The sequence below is a fragment of the Homo sapiens genome, chromosome 1 (assembly GCF_000001405.40).
Source record: "Homo sapiens chromosome 1, GRCh38.p14 Primary Assembly".
NCBI classification, from domain to species: domain Eukaryota; kingdom Metazoa; phylum Chordata; class Mammalia; order Primates; family Hominidae; genus Homo; species Homo sapiens.
In genome coordinates, this window is record NC_000001.11 from 62,831,417 (window position 1) to 62,850,376 (window position 18,960).

An 18,960-nucleotide genomic window follows, 5' to 3' on the forward strand; every position below is an offset into this window, starting at 1 on the left:
CAGTTCTATTTTTCAAATTTATTAAACAAGGTATTTCAGAGATAGTGCCAACATAGCATCCTGCTACATTGTATGAGAAGAAGGAAATTTGTTGTGTGCTTTATTCGTCCTTACCACAGGAGGTTTATTTATGTATGTATGTATGTATTTTTAAGGACCTGGAATGAGGAAAATCCAATATGTTCTTTTTCTTCAGTGAGACAAATTAGGACTTTTTTTTTGACTGATTACTTCAGTCTTATTTATTGCTTCATGGATACAGCTCAATAAATTTTCACCACTAGAAAAATAACTGTAAAGAAGCTCTTTTAGGAACTGAAAAGTGTTTCAATCCAAAGATACAGCCTCTTACATGTAAAGGCATTCTAGCTCCTAATCTGCTTCTAAGCGTTTATTACTAAACTTGCTCTAATGCGTTGCAAGGGAAATACAGATGTCAAGAACCAAAGTCTTTCTTCCGTTACTTAGAACCATTCATTTTCTGAGGAGAGTCAGTGACAATCCTTGCTATATATTTTTTTCTTTCTTTTCTCAGTTGTAAGAGACATAGAACTTTCACTGCCTCACAGGTCTCTATGATATAAACATTGCATTTCAACTGATCAGACTGCCTCGAAGTAAGGCACTCTCTAATTGTATTAAGGATTTTTATTTAGGGGGAAAACAGTAGAATTCTTAATTGATAAGTAACTTTATTACTGTTTAGTGAGATTTTTGATACAATTTTGTCTTTATTTTTAGTTAGCTCTAAGATTTTAACCTGATATGCTTTCTCTGTTTAATTTTTTCAGTTGCAGCTCTCATTCAGTTTATCATTTCAGAAAAAACTTCATGATATTTTTACAATACTAAGAATATACAAGGTTGTTCTTTAGAGGGTGTCCGAGTCCATTTTTTGCTGCTGTAACAGAATACTGGAGACTGAGTAATTTATAGAGAACAGAAATTTATTCTCTCACAGTTCTGGAGGATGGGAAATCTAAGATCAAGGCACTGGCATCTGATGAAGGTCTCCTTGCTGCGCTCTCACATGGTGGAAGACAGAAGGGCCGAAAGAGGGCGAACTCTGTCCTCACGTGGCAGAGGAGCAGGAGAGAGAAACCATTCCTGCAAGTCCTTTTTATAGCAACATTGAGATTTTTGATACAATTTTATCTTTATTTTTAGTTAGCTCTAAGATTTTAACCTGATATTCATGCAAGCTCTGCCCTCATGACCTAAACACCTCCCCAAAGGCTCCAGCTTTCAACACTACATTGGGGATTAAGTTCCCACACATGAATTTTGGAGGGAATAAAAATGTTCAAACTATAGTGGAGGGTTACTTATAACAGTGAGAACTTGGAATGACTTAAATATTTATAGTGGAGGTTTTAAAGCACATTTTGTTGTCATAAAATAGAATATTTTTCAGCTACTACATATTATTAATATAGATCTCTATTTATTGATAGGAAAAGATATTCATGACATAATGAGCAACAAAAGGTTACAATGGCATGTGTTGTGAGATTTCACATATATAAAATTGTATTTGTAAATCTGTGTGTGTATGTATGTAATGTAGACAGATGTTAAGAAGGTGTTCCCCCAAATATTAATAATGATGAGCTCTGGGTGTTGGAATTTGGGAAAAGTTTCACTTTTTTCTGTATTTCCTGTATGTGTGTGTGTTCTGTATGGTTTGGTTACTTGTTAAAGGAAAAAGAACGTTTGTCCATATATTTATTTTTATATCTTAGAGATTTCAAAACATCCTCTCATTTAAGAGAAGGAAAGCTTAATTATTGTTTAATAGTTTTGGGATTTTATAACCTATACTTTATCATTATTAGTGTTTTATAGGATATATCAAAATTATTGCAGGAACTGTTGTTAAGACATTAATTGATTCCACTAGACATTTTAAACTTACTCAATTGGACATGTTTTTAAAAAGATATAGAGTTGATTTGGCCTAACTTAAATAGAGTTCTGCTTAGAATAGATTGCTGAGGGGTGTATTAAATAATTTATTGTGGTATTCCTGATATTTTATGATTAGTAAAATAAATTGGCTTTAAATGCAATAATTATTATTTTCATTGGATTAAGTTATTTTCATTACTCTTTATTTCAAATGAAGTAGCATAAAAAATTTGAGTGAATGCCATTGATTAGAAAATGGCTTTCAATTTGTGATTCTAAGACTCAAGGTTCAATGAAAACAGCAGTAAGGACTAAGAACTATCTTTAGCATTTCAAAAAGCCTGACGAAAATTTTACGTTGATCACAGTGAAGCTGCACCAGCTAACTGGAAGGCTAAGTGTATTGGCTTTGGCAGGAATTTTATTGCCTTACGGTGGTAAAATTGATTATCTCTCTATGTAGTAGTTGTTTAATGTTGTTGAGCAACACGCTGATCAAAATATTTGATTTGTCATGTTAATGTTGAGTGATTTAAAGAAAAGGAAGGCAGTTTGGAAGACAAGTGGATTTCAGAACCTGGGTGCAAATGTAATATAAATGATAACTGGTAGTGGTAAATTTGGGAGCTACTAATATTAGTAATAGAAATTTGTTTGCTTTGAATAATTACCACTTGCCTCTTGACTAAATCTGTATTAATTTTTTTTGGCAGGGTATTTTAAGCCTGGAATATTGTGTGGGTATTATTGGTGGCAAACCTAAACAGTCATATTACTTTGCTGGATTTCAAGGTTAGTGATTTAGTAAAATATATTTCTTCATTGTTTTCTTTTAAAAGTCAGAAAGTTAATATGAGATCATCTGGAAACAGGATGATTAACAGAGCAAAACGAGTACCTTATACATTCATCAGTCCTACTATAGCCACTCATTTGTCATTTGGTCCACAACATAATTAGATTCTGTAAAATATATGTTTAATTTCTGTTACTGCATAAACAAGGCATAATTTATTGGTTGCGCTAAACTTCAGAAAACATCACTGCCACATTCTGGCAGTTGCTGTTTACATATTTACTTTTTACCAGTTTTAGTGGTGCAAGTAGATGATAAAATGACAAGCAATATGTTCTTCCTGTCAAGATAAAGAAGTGCAATACATTTTTCATATGCAAACTGTAGAATATAATTGTGTGTTTGTGAAAGCAATTTTATCACCAAAAATTAAATGACAGTCTCATCACTTTATAAAAATTCTGCTTATACAAGCATATTTGATTATGCAAAAGTTAATCTATCCTGTGCAAACCTATGTTTCAGTCAATGAATATCAGTCTGGCAAGCTGTTACTCCCAGATTTTTTTCAGCTGTTCTACATAGAAATTGGATTGTAAGCAGTGTAATAATAAGGTGTTTTTTGAATTACTTGTCTTCTGTTTTGTCCTTGTAGATGACAGTTTGATTTACATGGATCCTCATTACTGCCAATCTTTTGTAGATGTCAGCATAAAGGATTTCCCTCTTGAGGTACTGTGGATAAAAAGCTGATACTGTTTTCTTACCATATGAAGTAAACTAATTATTTAGAGATGTGCTAGGTAGCTATGCTTTTACGGTATTATAACTACTGGTTAATAATCAATATTTTACTGATCTATAGAACCATAATTAACACAGTGGTCAAAGGTTAAGTACTTTGTTGCTGAATTTTAATTTATGATATACTTTCTTCTTCATTTATCTTTGTCTCTAACTTGTTAGAAACCCTGGCCATACTAAAATAAATGATCAAGTCTCCAAGTAATTTTGTATAGAGACAGCTAAACAGTACTGAAGAATTTAAAATGTAAGGCCTGTTTAAAAAAAAAAAAAAAGAAAAATAGAAAGGGATAGACGGGTTAGAGTAACAAAGCGACTTAATGCGGTTATCTGCTAAATTATTTTGCTTTGAGTACAGTAATTAAATCTTAGCCTTTAGTTAGGAAGTTTTCAAGAGCTTAGTTGGGTTTCTAATTTTTTTTGAGCTTTTATTTCTTAACCTCTTCTTTTCCTTTATACAGGTCATTTTGTGATCCAGTATTTTAATTCAGAAAAATTTGAGAATACATAAATGAAACATGTAATTATTACATGGTTTTGATTGTTTTCCCAGTTGGTGCTTTTACAGACTAAAGTAATTTTACAGAATAAAATAACTTAAATCACTTGAGTGTCATGGATCACTAATTTTCAAGGACTTGATGAGTTGCAAATATAGCTGAATACTTTGTTTTAGTAATTGCTTGCTAGCTAATATTAACACCTAATAGTATTTAAGAGGTAGAATATGAAAATAGATAAACCACAAGGTTAAAATCTGGTTCAGAAAGATATATTATAAAACATTTTGGCATCCTTTGTAAACTATTACCTCAATTAAAGTATAAGCATCTGGAGGCCAGAGGTCAGGTCTATTTTGTTCTTTCATAGTATCTTGCACCTTAATAAATATTTGCTAGTTGACTGATTGGTACTGGGGAAGGCACTACAGAATAATTGTGCCATGTGAACTACATCGTAATTCTCTTTCTGCCTTGTGGTCTTGTAGCACTGATTCTTGTGTCCAAGTTACATTTCCAGTAGATCAGTGCCAAATTGACTCCTTATAAACAGTAGGTACTTGAGATTTAGATGGAAAATTGTTCTTAGTATTTTAGTATTACCTAAATAAGCAAATTAAAAGATTATTGGTCTGATTATTTTGGCCAGTAGAGAGAAATTATCCATCTGATATTTTGAGAGACTGCAAAGATACCAAGTGAATGAATATCCTGGCTATGTGTATACAATCAAAATTAGAAAGGCTTCAACTCATTATTGGGAGACTGTTGCAACACTCCAAGAGGGAGTTATTAATAATAAAGGTTTGAAGTAGGCTGGTGATAGTGAAAATGGAAAGGAATAATTGATTTTAAGATTTTACTGTGTAAGGTAAAATTTGTTAAAATTGACTTCTTAAATGCACAGAAACATTTCTTATATAGTGGGACACTTATAGAATGGGTTTATAGATGTTATATTTTTAAGATCCTGGTAGAATATCTTAATCTGTGTGGAAAATTCCTGTTAAAAATTTTTATTTTTCTGCAGTGAAGGGATTTATTTTAGTTATAGCATCACTTGTTTTCCTATGAAAGTATAATATAAAAATTATATCAAGTTGTAGAGGAATAAAATTTCACTTTTTGCTTTTTATCATCTTTTAAGTTTATAATACACCAATTGAAGGTGTTTTAACTACCCTGTATTACTAACCATCCTTGCTTTGCTATACTGCTTGTATATTTATAGCTAGTGAAATTATGTAGTTGATTAATGTAAAAAATTATATGCATATTCTAAAACCACCCTTATACTTCAATTATTAAAATCATTTTTATAGGGAACTTTTTGGGTCAGTATTTTTTTGGTTAATAGATGGAGAAATTGAAACCTTAAATCATCCACTGATTCCACATAAATAATTGGTGGTAGTCCTCTGATATTTTGAGTGCCCTAAATCTAATAGATTGTGAAATTTTAAGGAAGTGGGATGATATGAGAATATTTGAGATTAAAGAAGAGATTTAAACAGATTGCATTTTTTGTTGTTCTTACAGTGTTGAATTTCTACATTTCTAGAATTGAACTCTTAACATTTTGAAACCAAATCAGAGTAACTCATTTCTTTCTTTTTTAATGAGCTCTTTCTAGGTGCAAGGGACTTTCCTAAGCCCTTGAGTCCTCTGTTGAACTCTTTTCTTCTCTGTGATTCCAAGTGTTTTGATTATATACATTTCTATTAATGTTTAATTCTTGTGACATTTTCTTCTGAAATAAATTAGTATATCCTATTGAATTTCTATACTAACTTTTAAGAGACTCTTCCTCATTTTTAGCTATCTTCAGTGAGTTTTTAACACATTGTGAAGTGAACATCAGCAGTTATATTTGGATCCTAAGTCTAGTAGTGAAGATATGCCAGGGATATCTTTGGTTAGGACTGAGGAATGGAGCACATGGTTCAGTGTGAGGGCACATTATAATGTAGAAACTCACACTGTAATTTTCAAACAGAAAATGAGGTTCAGAGGAGCAGCATGAACAACCTTAAACAAAAGTCATCAAAGAACAACTTGAAATTAGAAGGGAGTGAGAAGAGACCTCAAATGGGCTTTGGCAGTGAGGGTATGTAAGAAAAGCTTTATTAATAGACATGTCAGTTTGTTCTGATTGCTGGGTCCCCAATTCCAAATGTCAAATTTTAGGAGGTTCATACAGTGGTAACTGTTTTAATCTACCTTAGGAAATTCAGAAATATTGGCAGTAAAACTATTAGAATTACGTGATGTGGGCATCTAGATTGGATGAGTGAATTCTTCAGTGAAAGATAATACCCTTTATGAATTACACATGTGAACTGCAATTAGTAGTAGGTTTTTTTTATGTTGTCTTTTGGGTGGAGGATAGGGTCTTGCTCTGTTACCACTCCAGTTGGAGCGTAGTGTGTAATCTCAGCCCACTGTAGCCTTGACCTCCTGGGCTTTAGCGATCTCTCCACCTTAGCCACTCAAGTAGTTGGGATCACAGGTGGGTGCCACCATACCCGGTTAATTATCAGTAGGTACTTTTTACTAAGGGTATTTTCTAATTAACTGTCTTAGGAAGCTTCATCTGAATCACCAAAATAGCATAGCTGTACCTATAAGCATATGTTTCAGTATGGTTTTGGTATGTTTAGGTAATTAGACTTCACTATTCTAAACAATAAGCCTAGAATAGTGCCTGTCATTTTGTAGGTGCCTAATAACTATTAGGGCAATTGGTAAACAATGTATCAAAAAATGAAATAAATGGGAATTGATTCTCTCTGGCCAGTATTTCCAGAAACACTGTTACAGAAGTGTATCTAGTGAATACTCCTTAAAGTGCGTTTGTCAAGTAGATGCTACTCCTCTTACCAATCATTAGAATTTTAAAAATTAAAAAAAATCTTAAGTGCATAGCTCAAAAATTATCACGAAGTGAACATAGCCCTGAATTAGGAAAATATTTGAAAGTTTAACTTGTTCTGCAATAGACAACGATTGTGAATTGTAAATTCATGTTGGTTGGCCTTTGAATCTTCTTGGATGAACAAAATGATATGAATGGCCAGGCATGATGGCTCCCGCCTGTAATCCCTCCACTTTGGGAGGCCAAGGCAGGTGGATCACCTGAGGTCAGGAGTTTGAGACCAGCCTGGCCAACATGGTGAAACCCCGTCTCTACTAAAAATACAAAAAAATTAGCTGGGCGTGGTGGTGCGCACCTGTAATCCCAGCTACTCGAGAGGCTGAGGCAGAGGAATTGCTTGAACCTGGGAGGCAGAGGTTGCAGTGAGCAGAGATCGCACCACTGCACTCCAGCCTGGGCGACAAGAGTGAAACTTCATCTCAAAAAAAAAAAAAAAAGTTTAAATGATATAAAATGCCTCTCTGTTGTATGAGTCCTAGTGCTCATGCCGCAATACCCAATATCAGTTTAAGTGATCAGAGATTTATATCTGTGTTTTTGTGAATATTTTAAAAGTTCTTTGTAGATATTAAAACAACCATGAATAACAATTTAGTGTTTGTTATTATCTATGATGGTTGTAGTCAGTACAGTGAGATAGTAATAAGACTATTCTGGTTTAGTATTATTGGTTCTTACATGAAAAGCCTTTTAAAATTAAAAAATTTTTATTTTCTAGAGATGGAGTTTTGTTCTGTCACCCAGGCTGGAGTGCAGTGGCACCACCATAGCTCACTGGCACCTCAAACTCCTGGGCTTACGCAATTCTCCCACCTAAGCCTCCTAAGTAGCTGGGACTATAGGTGAATGCCACCACACCTGGCTATTTAAAATTTTTTTTTAGAGGTGGGGTCTTGCCATGATGCACAAGCTGGTTTCAAACCTCAGCCCTCAAGCAATCCTCCCACCTCAGCCTTCTGAATTTCTGGGCACAGGCATGAGCCTGACTCAAGTTCTTACATGAAAACTTTTACCAGTGCTTTAGTATAATATAGAATACCCTTTGTAGATGAGTTCAAAAATATATTATTAGACCATGTACAAGCTTTTGGCCCTCCTTCTTATCCCCAACTGGTAAAAAAGTTAAGAAACATTCCTTGTGATTGTCTTTCGAATGAGCTGGGCAAATGGTTATTTGTAGATACCATGTATGTAGAATAATTTCTTATAAATATGACTTAGAACTGTGCCATATACCCTAATATACTCATATTCCTGTAAATTGTTAACTAACCAGTTTGTTTAGCTTTTCTGTGCTTTTCTAGTTCTGTTTTAAATATTTCTTTGCTAATGTAACAGGTAGATCAATGTTAGAAAAAGTCCAACTAAGATTATACTTGTATTGACTAGTGCCATGGAGGTTCCAGTTTAGCTAGGTTGAATCTCAGTATATAAAGTAAGTTAGCTAAGCATTTTGCAGAAGTCATAGTTTTGAAAACTCATATTTTGCCCTATATTGAGTGACATATTGTTGGATTTGAATCTAATATGCAGTTGAACTTTTCATTGGAAAAAAAAGCAGCTTGAATGTATATATTTTGCATATCTTTTGGTGATGATACGGGATACAAATTGGGTCACTAGGATGTACAGGGAGAGAAAGAGTGATTTTAATTGATTTCACCATGAACATAACAAATATGACAACTTATTTTTTCCACACTTTAATAGATAGCATGAAGTTAAAAATCCCTTAGTTTTAGGCATTGAATGTAGGGAAACTATAATTTTATGAGCTCAAATCCAGCTCCCCTCCCCTCCCCTCCCATTAATGGAGTTGGAGTCTTGCCCTCTTGCCCAGGCTGAAGTGTAGTGGCACGATCATATCTTACTGCAGCTTCAAAACTTCTGGGCTCAAGCAGTCCTCCTGCCTCAGGCTCCTGAATAGCTGGGATTGTACATGGGAGCCACAGCACCCAGCTCCTAGATTATTTCTTAATTGAGCTTGTTCTTTAATTCAAAAATTTCCCACACTTATCTCCCATCTGCCCAGTTCTCTCCCTTTACCACAGACTTGTTAATTTTTGTATATCCTTAGTTTATTTATATAAATATGAATATACAGTCTTATGTTCTTTTTAACACAAACTTATTTTTTCTACATACAGAAAAAGACTTGGTCACTTCAGTGATTTTTAAGGACAGGCTAAGCATTTAAGCATTAAAAAAATTTTTAAACATAGTACTAAGGTGTGATTGTGAGGAACAAAAAGATTGCAGTGATTACTTTTATATTCTGCCCTTTTTCTACTTTTGTATTCCCTAAAGATGCCAAACTCTACTAACAGCCAAATCCATTAGCAAGACAGTAGAGAAACTAGGGCAGCCTCCCCAGCCCATTTATATCTGTGGCACTGTGTCTATTGGAGAAAAGTGAACTAAAGAGACAAAAGGACTGATGAGAAAGAGGGCAGGGACCATAATGGAATGGTTTCACCTGTTCCAGCCTGTTCCCTGAGAAGAAACAAGAATTAAAGCACACTCAAAGAGAAAGTTGAAGAATACGCAGTTATGTACTAATTGTGTGAATTGCTAAAACCCTCAAGTTGACCTCTTTTTATGTCAATATAGAACATTTACCTGAGTCTGTGTATTTGTTTAAAAAGTCTCGATATCCTTGTTAAAAGGTTTATAAACATTAACCCAAAATCTCCAACAAAACAGACTTAACTGCATTTTAATAGAAATGGCTAACTTGATTCTAAGCCTCATACTTTTTTCATGTCTTTTTCATGTTTTCAAGTGTTAGAAATGCATACCACTTTTGACACACTTCCTTTCTTTTGCAGAATGGCACTAATATCACAAAAGGTTGAAATTTGGTGAATTAAATATATAAAAATGTTGGCTCTTATATTTTACAGTTTTGCAGAGTGGAGAGGACCATCTGCGTAGGATGAACTAAAACACCATTTGAAAATCATGTTTATAGTGATGGGAAAAAGCTAGATAGAAAATTTTAAATAATAGTTTTATATATACTTGTCTATCAAAGATAAATTAATCCTAAAGAACTTTAAAAATTACAGACATTCCACTGCCCTTCTCCCAAAAAGATGTCTTTTCGAAAAATGGATCCCAGCTGTACAATAGGATTTTACTGTCGAAATGTTCAGGACTTCAAACGAGCTTCTGAAGAAATCACCAAGGTATCTTTATTTAAAATATTATATTTGTAAATGACCTAATTTTATTAGAAACAGACTGTCAGAAAGCAAAAACCTGTAAATTATAATTTTTTATAAAATTTCCTCTTGAATGTTAATATTATTAGGAGTATTGTGAATTGAAAAATAAAGCCATTTGAGGAATCTTAGCGTTTGAGGCAAATGAAATCTAGTGACAAGTTGAAAGTATTGATTGGTCCACTAGGTGGCACTGTTGAAATAAAAATCCTGTTGCAAACGCTAGACCGGTCCAAGCAATTAGGTTATATTCTATTTGAAGAAGATTTTAAAAGGGCAATCCCTTAGGGGTAGGAAAAAAATTAATGAAGTATTTGATCAAGCCAAATTGTGCATTATTTCTTGTTAGTCCAAGTGCTTCTTTGATTTTTTTAAAAAGAGAAATGGTATTTTTGGATTTCTCAGAACTGCTTTATCAAATGAGCTGTGTTTTTACCTTTCAGTAAGCTTGTCTAATCTGATCTATTCTACTTATAGGATCCTTGAAAGAGGTTTATTTAACTTCTTCTCATTACATTTATACTTCTACATTTTTTTGGTCCTTGAGTACTGCTAAAACATTTATGGAACCTTAATATCTGTCTCTATGTAGTATTTTAGAAAATAAAAAAAGACTGCTTTTTAAAGAAATACACATAGTTTGATAGCTCTTTATTTGTACCAGTAGTTAGGCTATCATTTTATGGTATGTAAGACCAATACTCGTCATTTTTGGGAATTTTTTTTTTTTTTTTTGAGACTAGGTTTCACTCTTGTTGCCCAGGCTGGAGTGCAATGGCGCGATCTCGGCTCACTGCAACCCCTGCCTCCCAGATTCAAGCAATTATCTTGCCTCAGCCTCCTGAGTAGCTGGGATTACAAGCATGTGCCACCATGCCTGGCTAATTTTGTAATTTTAGTAGAGACGGGGTTTCTCCATGTTGGTCAGGCTGGTCTCGAACTCCTGACCTCAGAATTCTTCACTGGAACTTATATATAATAGTAACTTATTACTGCTTTATTTCCAGTTAATTTTATTCAGGAAAGTGGACATAGTAAGTTGAAATTTTATTTTTACAATGTAAAAATGGAATGATAAAAAATAAAACGTTTCATATAAGCTAGATTTAGTTTACTTGACCTGCCATATGAAAGAGGAAATTTAGCAGGAATGTGGCAGGAAAATGAATGAGGAAAGGAACAAATGAGATATGTGGGAACCATTCCATATTCTTCATTTCTCACAGTTGTTCTCTTTTCATTCTCCTTTTTCAACATGGAAGGCCAGGTGAACATAACAAAATATATATTTTTCATTTTTCCTCCTATTACTGGAAATTAGTATATGCATTTGTATATTTTAGTTTGACAGTTCTTTGTCTCTACAAAGTATCATGTATATGCTAAAGTATACAAATACAGGTGATATTGTGATATTTATTGATGTTGATGAACATTTTCCATTAAAAAGTCCCATTTCCCTGTTTCCATTCATGTATTTTCTATCTGGATGAAAATAAATATGTTTAAAACAGTAAAGCAGTTTACTCCTGGAATAGAAACAAACCAGATTATTATTACCAAATTAAAAAAAAAAGCAAAATTAAAAAATGTGTGCTGATATTTTCTAATTAAAGACACTTATGGCTTTTACATTGGAAAAATACTTAGAAATTATTATTCTTGAGCATCAGAATAATATGCATTAAGGCAAAGAGAAATTATGTTGAAATGTCTTTTGGAAGTACTGAGAATTTTGTAAGAATCAATTAACTTTGCTTTAATAATAGTGTTCTTCTTAAGTCAATAGCTTTTTGTAGCAGTATCAAAAACTCACCATGTCAGTTAATGACACAGTTTCTTTTGCCTGGAAGGTTATAAGTTAAGCACTTGCCTTTTTTTCTTAAAAACTGAATTTGGCAGTTTTAGTTCAATCATTGTTTTTAACCCTTAAAAATTAAAATAACTTAAAATTATTTGTTTCTGTATAAGATGTATCTTTTCAGTTTTCTCATTTTGAAAATGAAGCTGGTAGTCTAGAGTCTCATGTTTAATTCGTAATACCCTATGAACGAATAACTCCTTATGCTATATGATTTTAAAATATTAATAAAAATTGTTAAACCAATTCAGTGTTTAGCAGAATTCAGTCTAGCAAGTATCTGCATAACTATCATATACAGAGCACAAAATGACCAAGATACAATCTCTGCTTTTGAACAAGGTGTAAAACTTCCATCCTCAAGTAACGTTTATACTTCAGTAGGGGAAATAAGACAAGTAGACATATATTACATTGAATATGGTAAGCATCCATATGGAAATAGAAATAAATTGATAGAGGAAAGAAGAGGGTTGAAATGAGAGAGATGTCACATCTAAGTCAAAGTACTTTATTGTGATGGTCATATTTAAGAAGGGCTTTAAAGTATAGGCTTAATTTCTACTGGCTTAGGGAAAGAGAAGGTTACTTCAAGCTGAGGAAATACCAAAAGGAAAAGTATAGAAGGAAAGTGGAGAGTTTGTCTAGAGAATGGCAAGTAGTCCAACTTGGTAGGTGCCAAGGCTTCATATTAGGCAGGGTTTCTGCTTCTACTGCCTGAATCAAAATCCCTAAAGGTGTGGCCTGGGAGTCTCCATTTCTGGCAAGCCTCCCACACAGTCTTGTGTGCCAAATTTGAGAACCACTTGCATAAGACAGGGCAACCCAAGATGTGACACTTGATGTTGTTTTTAGGTGGCACTAGGACAAACATTTTAATACTTAACATTAACTGGCATATTAAATGTGTGACTTATTGATTTGTACAAGGCTATTTAGGTTAAAAATGATGAAAAGAAAAATATTCATTAATCATGATAGTGAAAGGGGTATATAAGTCTCTGAGTTTTGGGAAACACTGTTATAGGAAATACTGAAGGAAGAGTCTAGAAAAGTAGATTAGAATAATACTATGGAGAGTCTTGAATTAAAGCTGAAGAAGTTGTACTTTAGTAATATGTTGATTTTGTTAAATTAATTTTAAAATTTCAGGCATACAGAAATATAGAGAATAATATAGTAAATACCCATGTGTTACCACTGAGCTTAAGAAAGTTATATATATAATTAATAAGTGTGTTATCTTCCACCAATCTTATTCCTTTTCTTCCTTCTCAGTGGTAATCACTATCCTGAATTAGTGTATCATACCCATACTTTATATATCCATAAACAACACATATTATCTTACATTTATTAAATTTTTTGTTAATGATATTTTTATATAAAGAGATATATATTCATCTACAACATTTTTATTTAACAGTGAGTTAGAGATTATCTATGTAACCGTACATGTTGATCTAGCTTATTCATTTAAACAGCTGAATAGTGGTCCATTCTGTAATACACTCTTTTTATTTAAACTTTCTTTCTTTGATGGTCATCTGGCTTGTTTCTGAGAACTTAAAACTCCTTGTTATATTTGTTTAATTACAAATAATGTTTTAAATAATATTCTTGTACATATCTCTTTGTGCATATATAATACTTTAAGTAGGGTTACATTAGATATACTAGATACATTACAGTGGAATTTCTGGGTCATAAGATAAGCATATTTTTAGGTTTGCTGTATGTTGTTAAATACTCTCCAGAGTGATCATGCCAACCAGTATATAAGAATTTCTTAACATCCTTATCAACACTTGATATTGTCAAACTTTAAAATTTTAACCAATCTCGTGGATATGAATAGTACCTCTTTGTAGTTTTAATTTATATTTCCCTGATTGATACTAAGGTTGAATATTTAATCAAAGTTTATTGGCCCATTTGTTTCCTCTTTTGTGAATTTCCCATTCATTCTTTTTCTCTATTTTTTTATAGGGCTATTTGATATGAAGGAAATCTTTACAATTCTAGATACTACTGCTTTGTTGGCTTTATACGTTACAAATATATTCTTCTAGGCCGCTATTTTTACTTGTTAATTGTGTCTTTAATTTTAATATAGTCAAATTAATAATACTTTTATGGTTTTTGAATTTTGTATCAAAGAAATCTTTAATAAGCAAAAGTCATAAACATATTCTCCTATACTCCTTCCAGAAGTTTTATGTTTCACATTTAGAACTTGTATATGTTTTATTTATTTTTATTTATTTATTTTTTTGAGATGGAGTCTTGCTCAGTCACCCAGTCTGGAGTGCAGGGGCGCGATTTTGGCTCACTTCAACCTCCACCTCCCGGGTTCAAGCAATTCTCCTGCCTCAGCCTCCCTAGAAGCTGGGATTACAGGTGTGCACCACCACGCCTGGCTAATTTTTGTATTTTTAGTAGACACAGGGTTTCACCATGTTGACCAAGCTGGTCTTGAATTCCTGACCTCAGGTGATCCTCCTGTGTCAGCCTCCCAAAGGTAGAATCAGTAAGACAGCCACTTAGAAAGTGGTGAGGGAAAGAGAGAGCTCACAGACAAGTCTGTTTTACATCTAGGTGACCAGGGGAACAAATTAATAGTTCATTAATATGGTGATTCATTTAGTCAGCAAATATGTGAGTGTTTTCATCCCTATGACTCCACCAGAATTCCTCTTCAAGGTCACTAATGACCCTACGTTGCCAAGTCCATTGGTCGAATCTCAGAGTTCATTCTACTTGTCATAAGAGAAGCATTTGATGTAGGTGAACATCCACTTCACCCTCCTACACCTTCTTCACATTGGCTTCCAGGACACCAAACTCTTTTGGTTTTTCTCATTCTTTACTGGTTGCTCCTTCTTTAGTCTTCTTTGCCTGCTTTCTTCCCCAGCCTCTTAATGTTGGAATAGCTTAGGGCTTATCCTTTAGTTCTGATATCTTCTTTATCTTGATGATCTCATGCAGTCATATAGCTTTAAATATCAGTTATAGTCCAAGATCGTATCTTTAGCCCAAAATTGTTTTCCAAATTTTATATTATAATGTCCAGTTGCTATTCAGTGTCCCTTATACATCTGGCGTACGTTTCCAAAATCAAATTCCTGATCTTCCTTCTGAAGCCTGTTTTGCTCACAGTTTTCCTTGTCTCATTTGATGGCAAATTTATCCACTGTCTGCTCAGGCCAAAGCCTTGGATTATTCTTACCTCCCTTCTCTCTCTCACATCTCATAACAACTTATATATTCAAAGTATATCTAGAATCAGACCACTTTTCACCACCTTCCCTACTGCTCTTGCAACACTGGTCTGAGACACTATTGTTACTTCAGTGATCTCTTATGTAGTTTCCAAGCCTCACTTCCCTGCCTCTAGCTGGTTCTCAATTCAGCAGCCCTGGTAATTCTTTCAAAACATAAGTCATACTGGGCAGGGCACAGTGGCTCACACCTGTAACCCCAGCACTTTGGGAGGTCGAGGTGGCCAGATCACCTGAGGTCAGGAGTTCAAAACCAGTCTGGCCAACATGGTGAAACTCCGTCTCTACTAAAAATACAAAAATTAGCCAGGCATGGTGGTGTGTGCCTGTAGTCCCAGCTACTCAGGAGGCTGAGGCACGAAAATCACTTGAACCCGGGAGGTGGAGGGTGCAGTGAGCCAAGATTGTGCCATTGCACTCCAGCCTGGGCGAGAGAACGAGACTTTGTCTCAAACAAAACAGAACAAAAAAGCATAAGTCTTACTGAAGCATTGAGAATAAATAAAAAACAGAAACCATAAGTCGAAGCACTGACATATCCTAAAGCATCTGGAACGGTGCTCAGCTCATAGTAAGTGTTCATTTTGTTGAATGTCTGTCTGGAGCTGGATATGCAGTGGTAAACAAGATAGTTGTGACTCCTGGCTTCATGAACTTATAGTCCAGTGGACATTAAACACACAAGTGTATAACAAAAATTAAAAGTTTCATCGAGAAGAAAATACAGTGTCATGAGAAAGAAAAATAGAAGAGACATAATTTAATTTCGGGAGTGCAAAAAACGTTTAATAGTATATATTCACTGCATTTTTTGTAAGGATATTAACATGCCCATGAAACCTGCCCTATTTAAATCTACCACACAATGAGTAAAAAATCACCAGGAGAAGAGTGAGTGTCTTTCTAATCATAATGGACCTAATAGAGTTTCATGTCTTGCTTTAAGACTCTTGGAAGCCATGAATTAGGAGTAGGTAAAGTGAACAGTAGAGTTTGGCGTGTTTGGGAGAGCAGAATTTCAAGTCAGTTTAGTAGTATCTTTTATTTCGTTGAAATGGTCAACTGTGGAAATCCCTGTGGACAGGGAGGCAAATGGTCCGGGAGAGTTGAGAGTGGAAAACTTGAAGGTCAGATGAGTATGATGAAGTCAGGTTTACTGGAAGTGCCTCCAAAACAACCACTCTTCCGTTCTCTGCCTTCTTCAGACTTCAGCATCTCTATGGAATAGTTCTATTTAACACTGTGTCTAATCTTCTATTAATAATCTTCCTCCCTACCTCCCCTCATGTCTGAGTAGTTAATTATGTTGTTGAAATCTTTTATGTTCTTTTTTCTTTCCCGTATGGTTTTTAAATTACAGAAAGACATGTTATAAAAGCCTCCTATTGTGATGGTAGGGTTGTCTGTTTCTCCTTTAAGTTCTTTTTTGTTTGTTTGTTTTATACATTTTGAGGCTTTGCTATTAGTTACATACAAACTTAGGACTGTTAGGTCTTCCTATTGAATTACAACTTTAAATGTTCCTCTATCTCTTAGTAATATTTCTTACCTTAAATTCTGTTTTTGTACTTTGTGTCATCAAAAACTTGAGTCCTGTAGGATTTTAAATTCCACAAGGCATTGTGTTTTAAAGAGTCAGTATTACCCTTTCTGATGCCCTTCATTTTTTTCCTGTTTTACTCTGCTTCCTTTTGGGATCATTTTGGTTGTCTCTGAAGAACTTTCTTTATTATTTCTTTTAATGCTGTTACCTGGTGATAAATTCTCTCAGCTTTTGTTTGAACACATCTTTTTTATGCCTTCATTTAAAAATGGAAACAATAGCAAATTTATAGAAAAGTTGTAAATATAATGCAAATAATTTTTTTTCCTGAACCATTTGAGAATAAGTTGCTAGCATGATGCCCCATTAGCCTTGAATAGTTGAGTGTGCACTTCTTGCTTAGAAATAAAGACATTCTCCTACATAACCACAATATAACTATCAGAATCAGGAAAGTGGCATTGTACATTATCACCATTTAATCCCCAAGAAACTATTCAGGTTTCACCAGTTGTCCCAGTAATGCTCCAGGTGGCAAAAAGATTGAGTTCACAATAATACCTTACATTTATATGTCTTAAATCTTCTTTAATCTAGAACAGTTAATCATCTTTTTTGATTTTCACATTATATTTTTGAAGATAACAGGATACATGTTTCTTAGTTTTTTTACAGGACACTTTTGAAAATTTTGTAGATTGTCCTCTCAATTTGGGTTTGTCTGTACAGTTTCATCATTAATTTCAGGTTATACATCTTTGCCAGATATATCACCAAAGTGATGCTATGTTTTTCTGATTGTTTCTTGGTGAATGGCATGCGATTTTTATTTTTATTGTTTCTTTATTGGTGATGCTAACTTTGACCCCTTGGTTAAAGTGATGTCTGCCGCCTGCCAGGTTCCAGTCTGTCTTCAACATACCCAGTTGACCAGAATGACTTCTTCCACCCGGGCATGCATACCTGCTTTGCCCAGCCCCATCTAGTGGCTTTAAAAATGAATTGTTTGGGAGGGGAAGGGAAGACGAAGAGCTTGCCTTTGTTGTTGAAGGATATTTTTACAGGATATAGAATTCCATGTTAACAGTTGTTTTCTTTCAGTATCTTAAAGATATTTATTCCATTATCTCTGGCTTCTTTAATTTCTTAATAGACTTTGCCTCTCTAAGATTTTTATTTCTCAAGACTTAAATTGTTTTAATTGCTCTCAGATGCTTTCCAACAGTTTTTTTATCTATCATACTTTATCTTTTTTTTTTTGGAGACAGAGTCTCACTCTATCCCCAAGGCTGGAGTGCAGTAGTACGATCTTGGCTCACTGCAACCTCTGCCTCCCGGATTCTAGTGATTCTCATGCCTCAGCCTCCTGAGTAGCTAGGATTACCGGTGCCTGCCACCACGCCCAGCTAAGTTTTGTGTTTTTAGTAGAGCTGGTGTTTCACCATGTTGGCTAGGCTGGTCTCAAACTCCTGACCTCAGGTGATCACCCACCTCAGCCTCCCAAAGTGCTAGGATTACAGGCGTGAGCCACTACACCTGGCTGTACTTTATCCATTTCTTGTGGTGGTTCTTGGTGGTAGGGTTGATTTGATACAAGCTACGCCATTATGATGCTCCTAATTAGTATATTTATAAAATACTTGTTTTAGTTATTTCTTTTAAGGTGTAAGGTGTGACTATAAACTAAAAATATTTTAAAAATTTTTAACACAGAAGTTTTGTTTCTATTTCATTAGAATTTTATGAGTACTATTTAGAGAGAGACATGAGATTAAAGTTTTATCTTCTGTTCATCCAAAGAAATTATGGTACTGAAGTAAATTATAAAATAAAGTAAAATAACAAATGAAAATAATTTGGTTACTAAATAAATGACAACTCCATTTTCCTGGGTGCTCAGCCTAAAAACTGGATCCCTTGCTCTGTCTCACAAACCCCATGTCGTATGCATCAGCAAATCCCATCATCTCTTCTTTAAAATATACTTAGAATTTGATAATTTCTCACCACTCTCATTATTACCCTGGCCCATCCTCACATCTTCCTTGAGATTATTGCGGTAGCTCCCTAACTGATCTCCCTTGCTCTGTCTACAGTCTAGAATCAAC

The 18,960-nt window shown here is 34.2% G+C and overlaps 1 protein-coding gene across 2 annotated transcripts in view; it reads left to right on the forward strand.

The window, feature by feature from the left end:
• The window catches only part of ATG4C (autophagy related 4C cysteine peptidase), an 81,385-nt gene that overhangs the window by 47,285 nt on the left and 15,140 nt on the right, over positions 1-18,960 (forward strand). For both annotated transcript variants that reach the window (NM_032852.4, NM_178221.3), the window contains exons 8-10: positions 2,622-2,700; positions 3,360-3,436; positions 10,012-10,131. In NM_032852.4, the coding sequence (NP_116241.2) occupies positions 2,622-2,700; positions 3,360-3,436; positions 10,012-10,131 (276 nt within the window). The remainder of the gene's footprint in view (positions 1-2,621; positions 2,701-3,359; positions 3,437-10,011; positions 10,132-18,960) is intronic.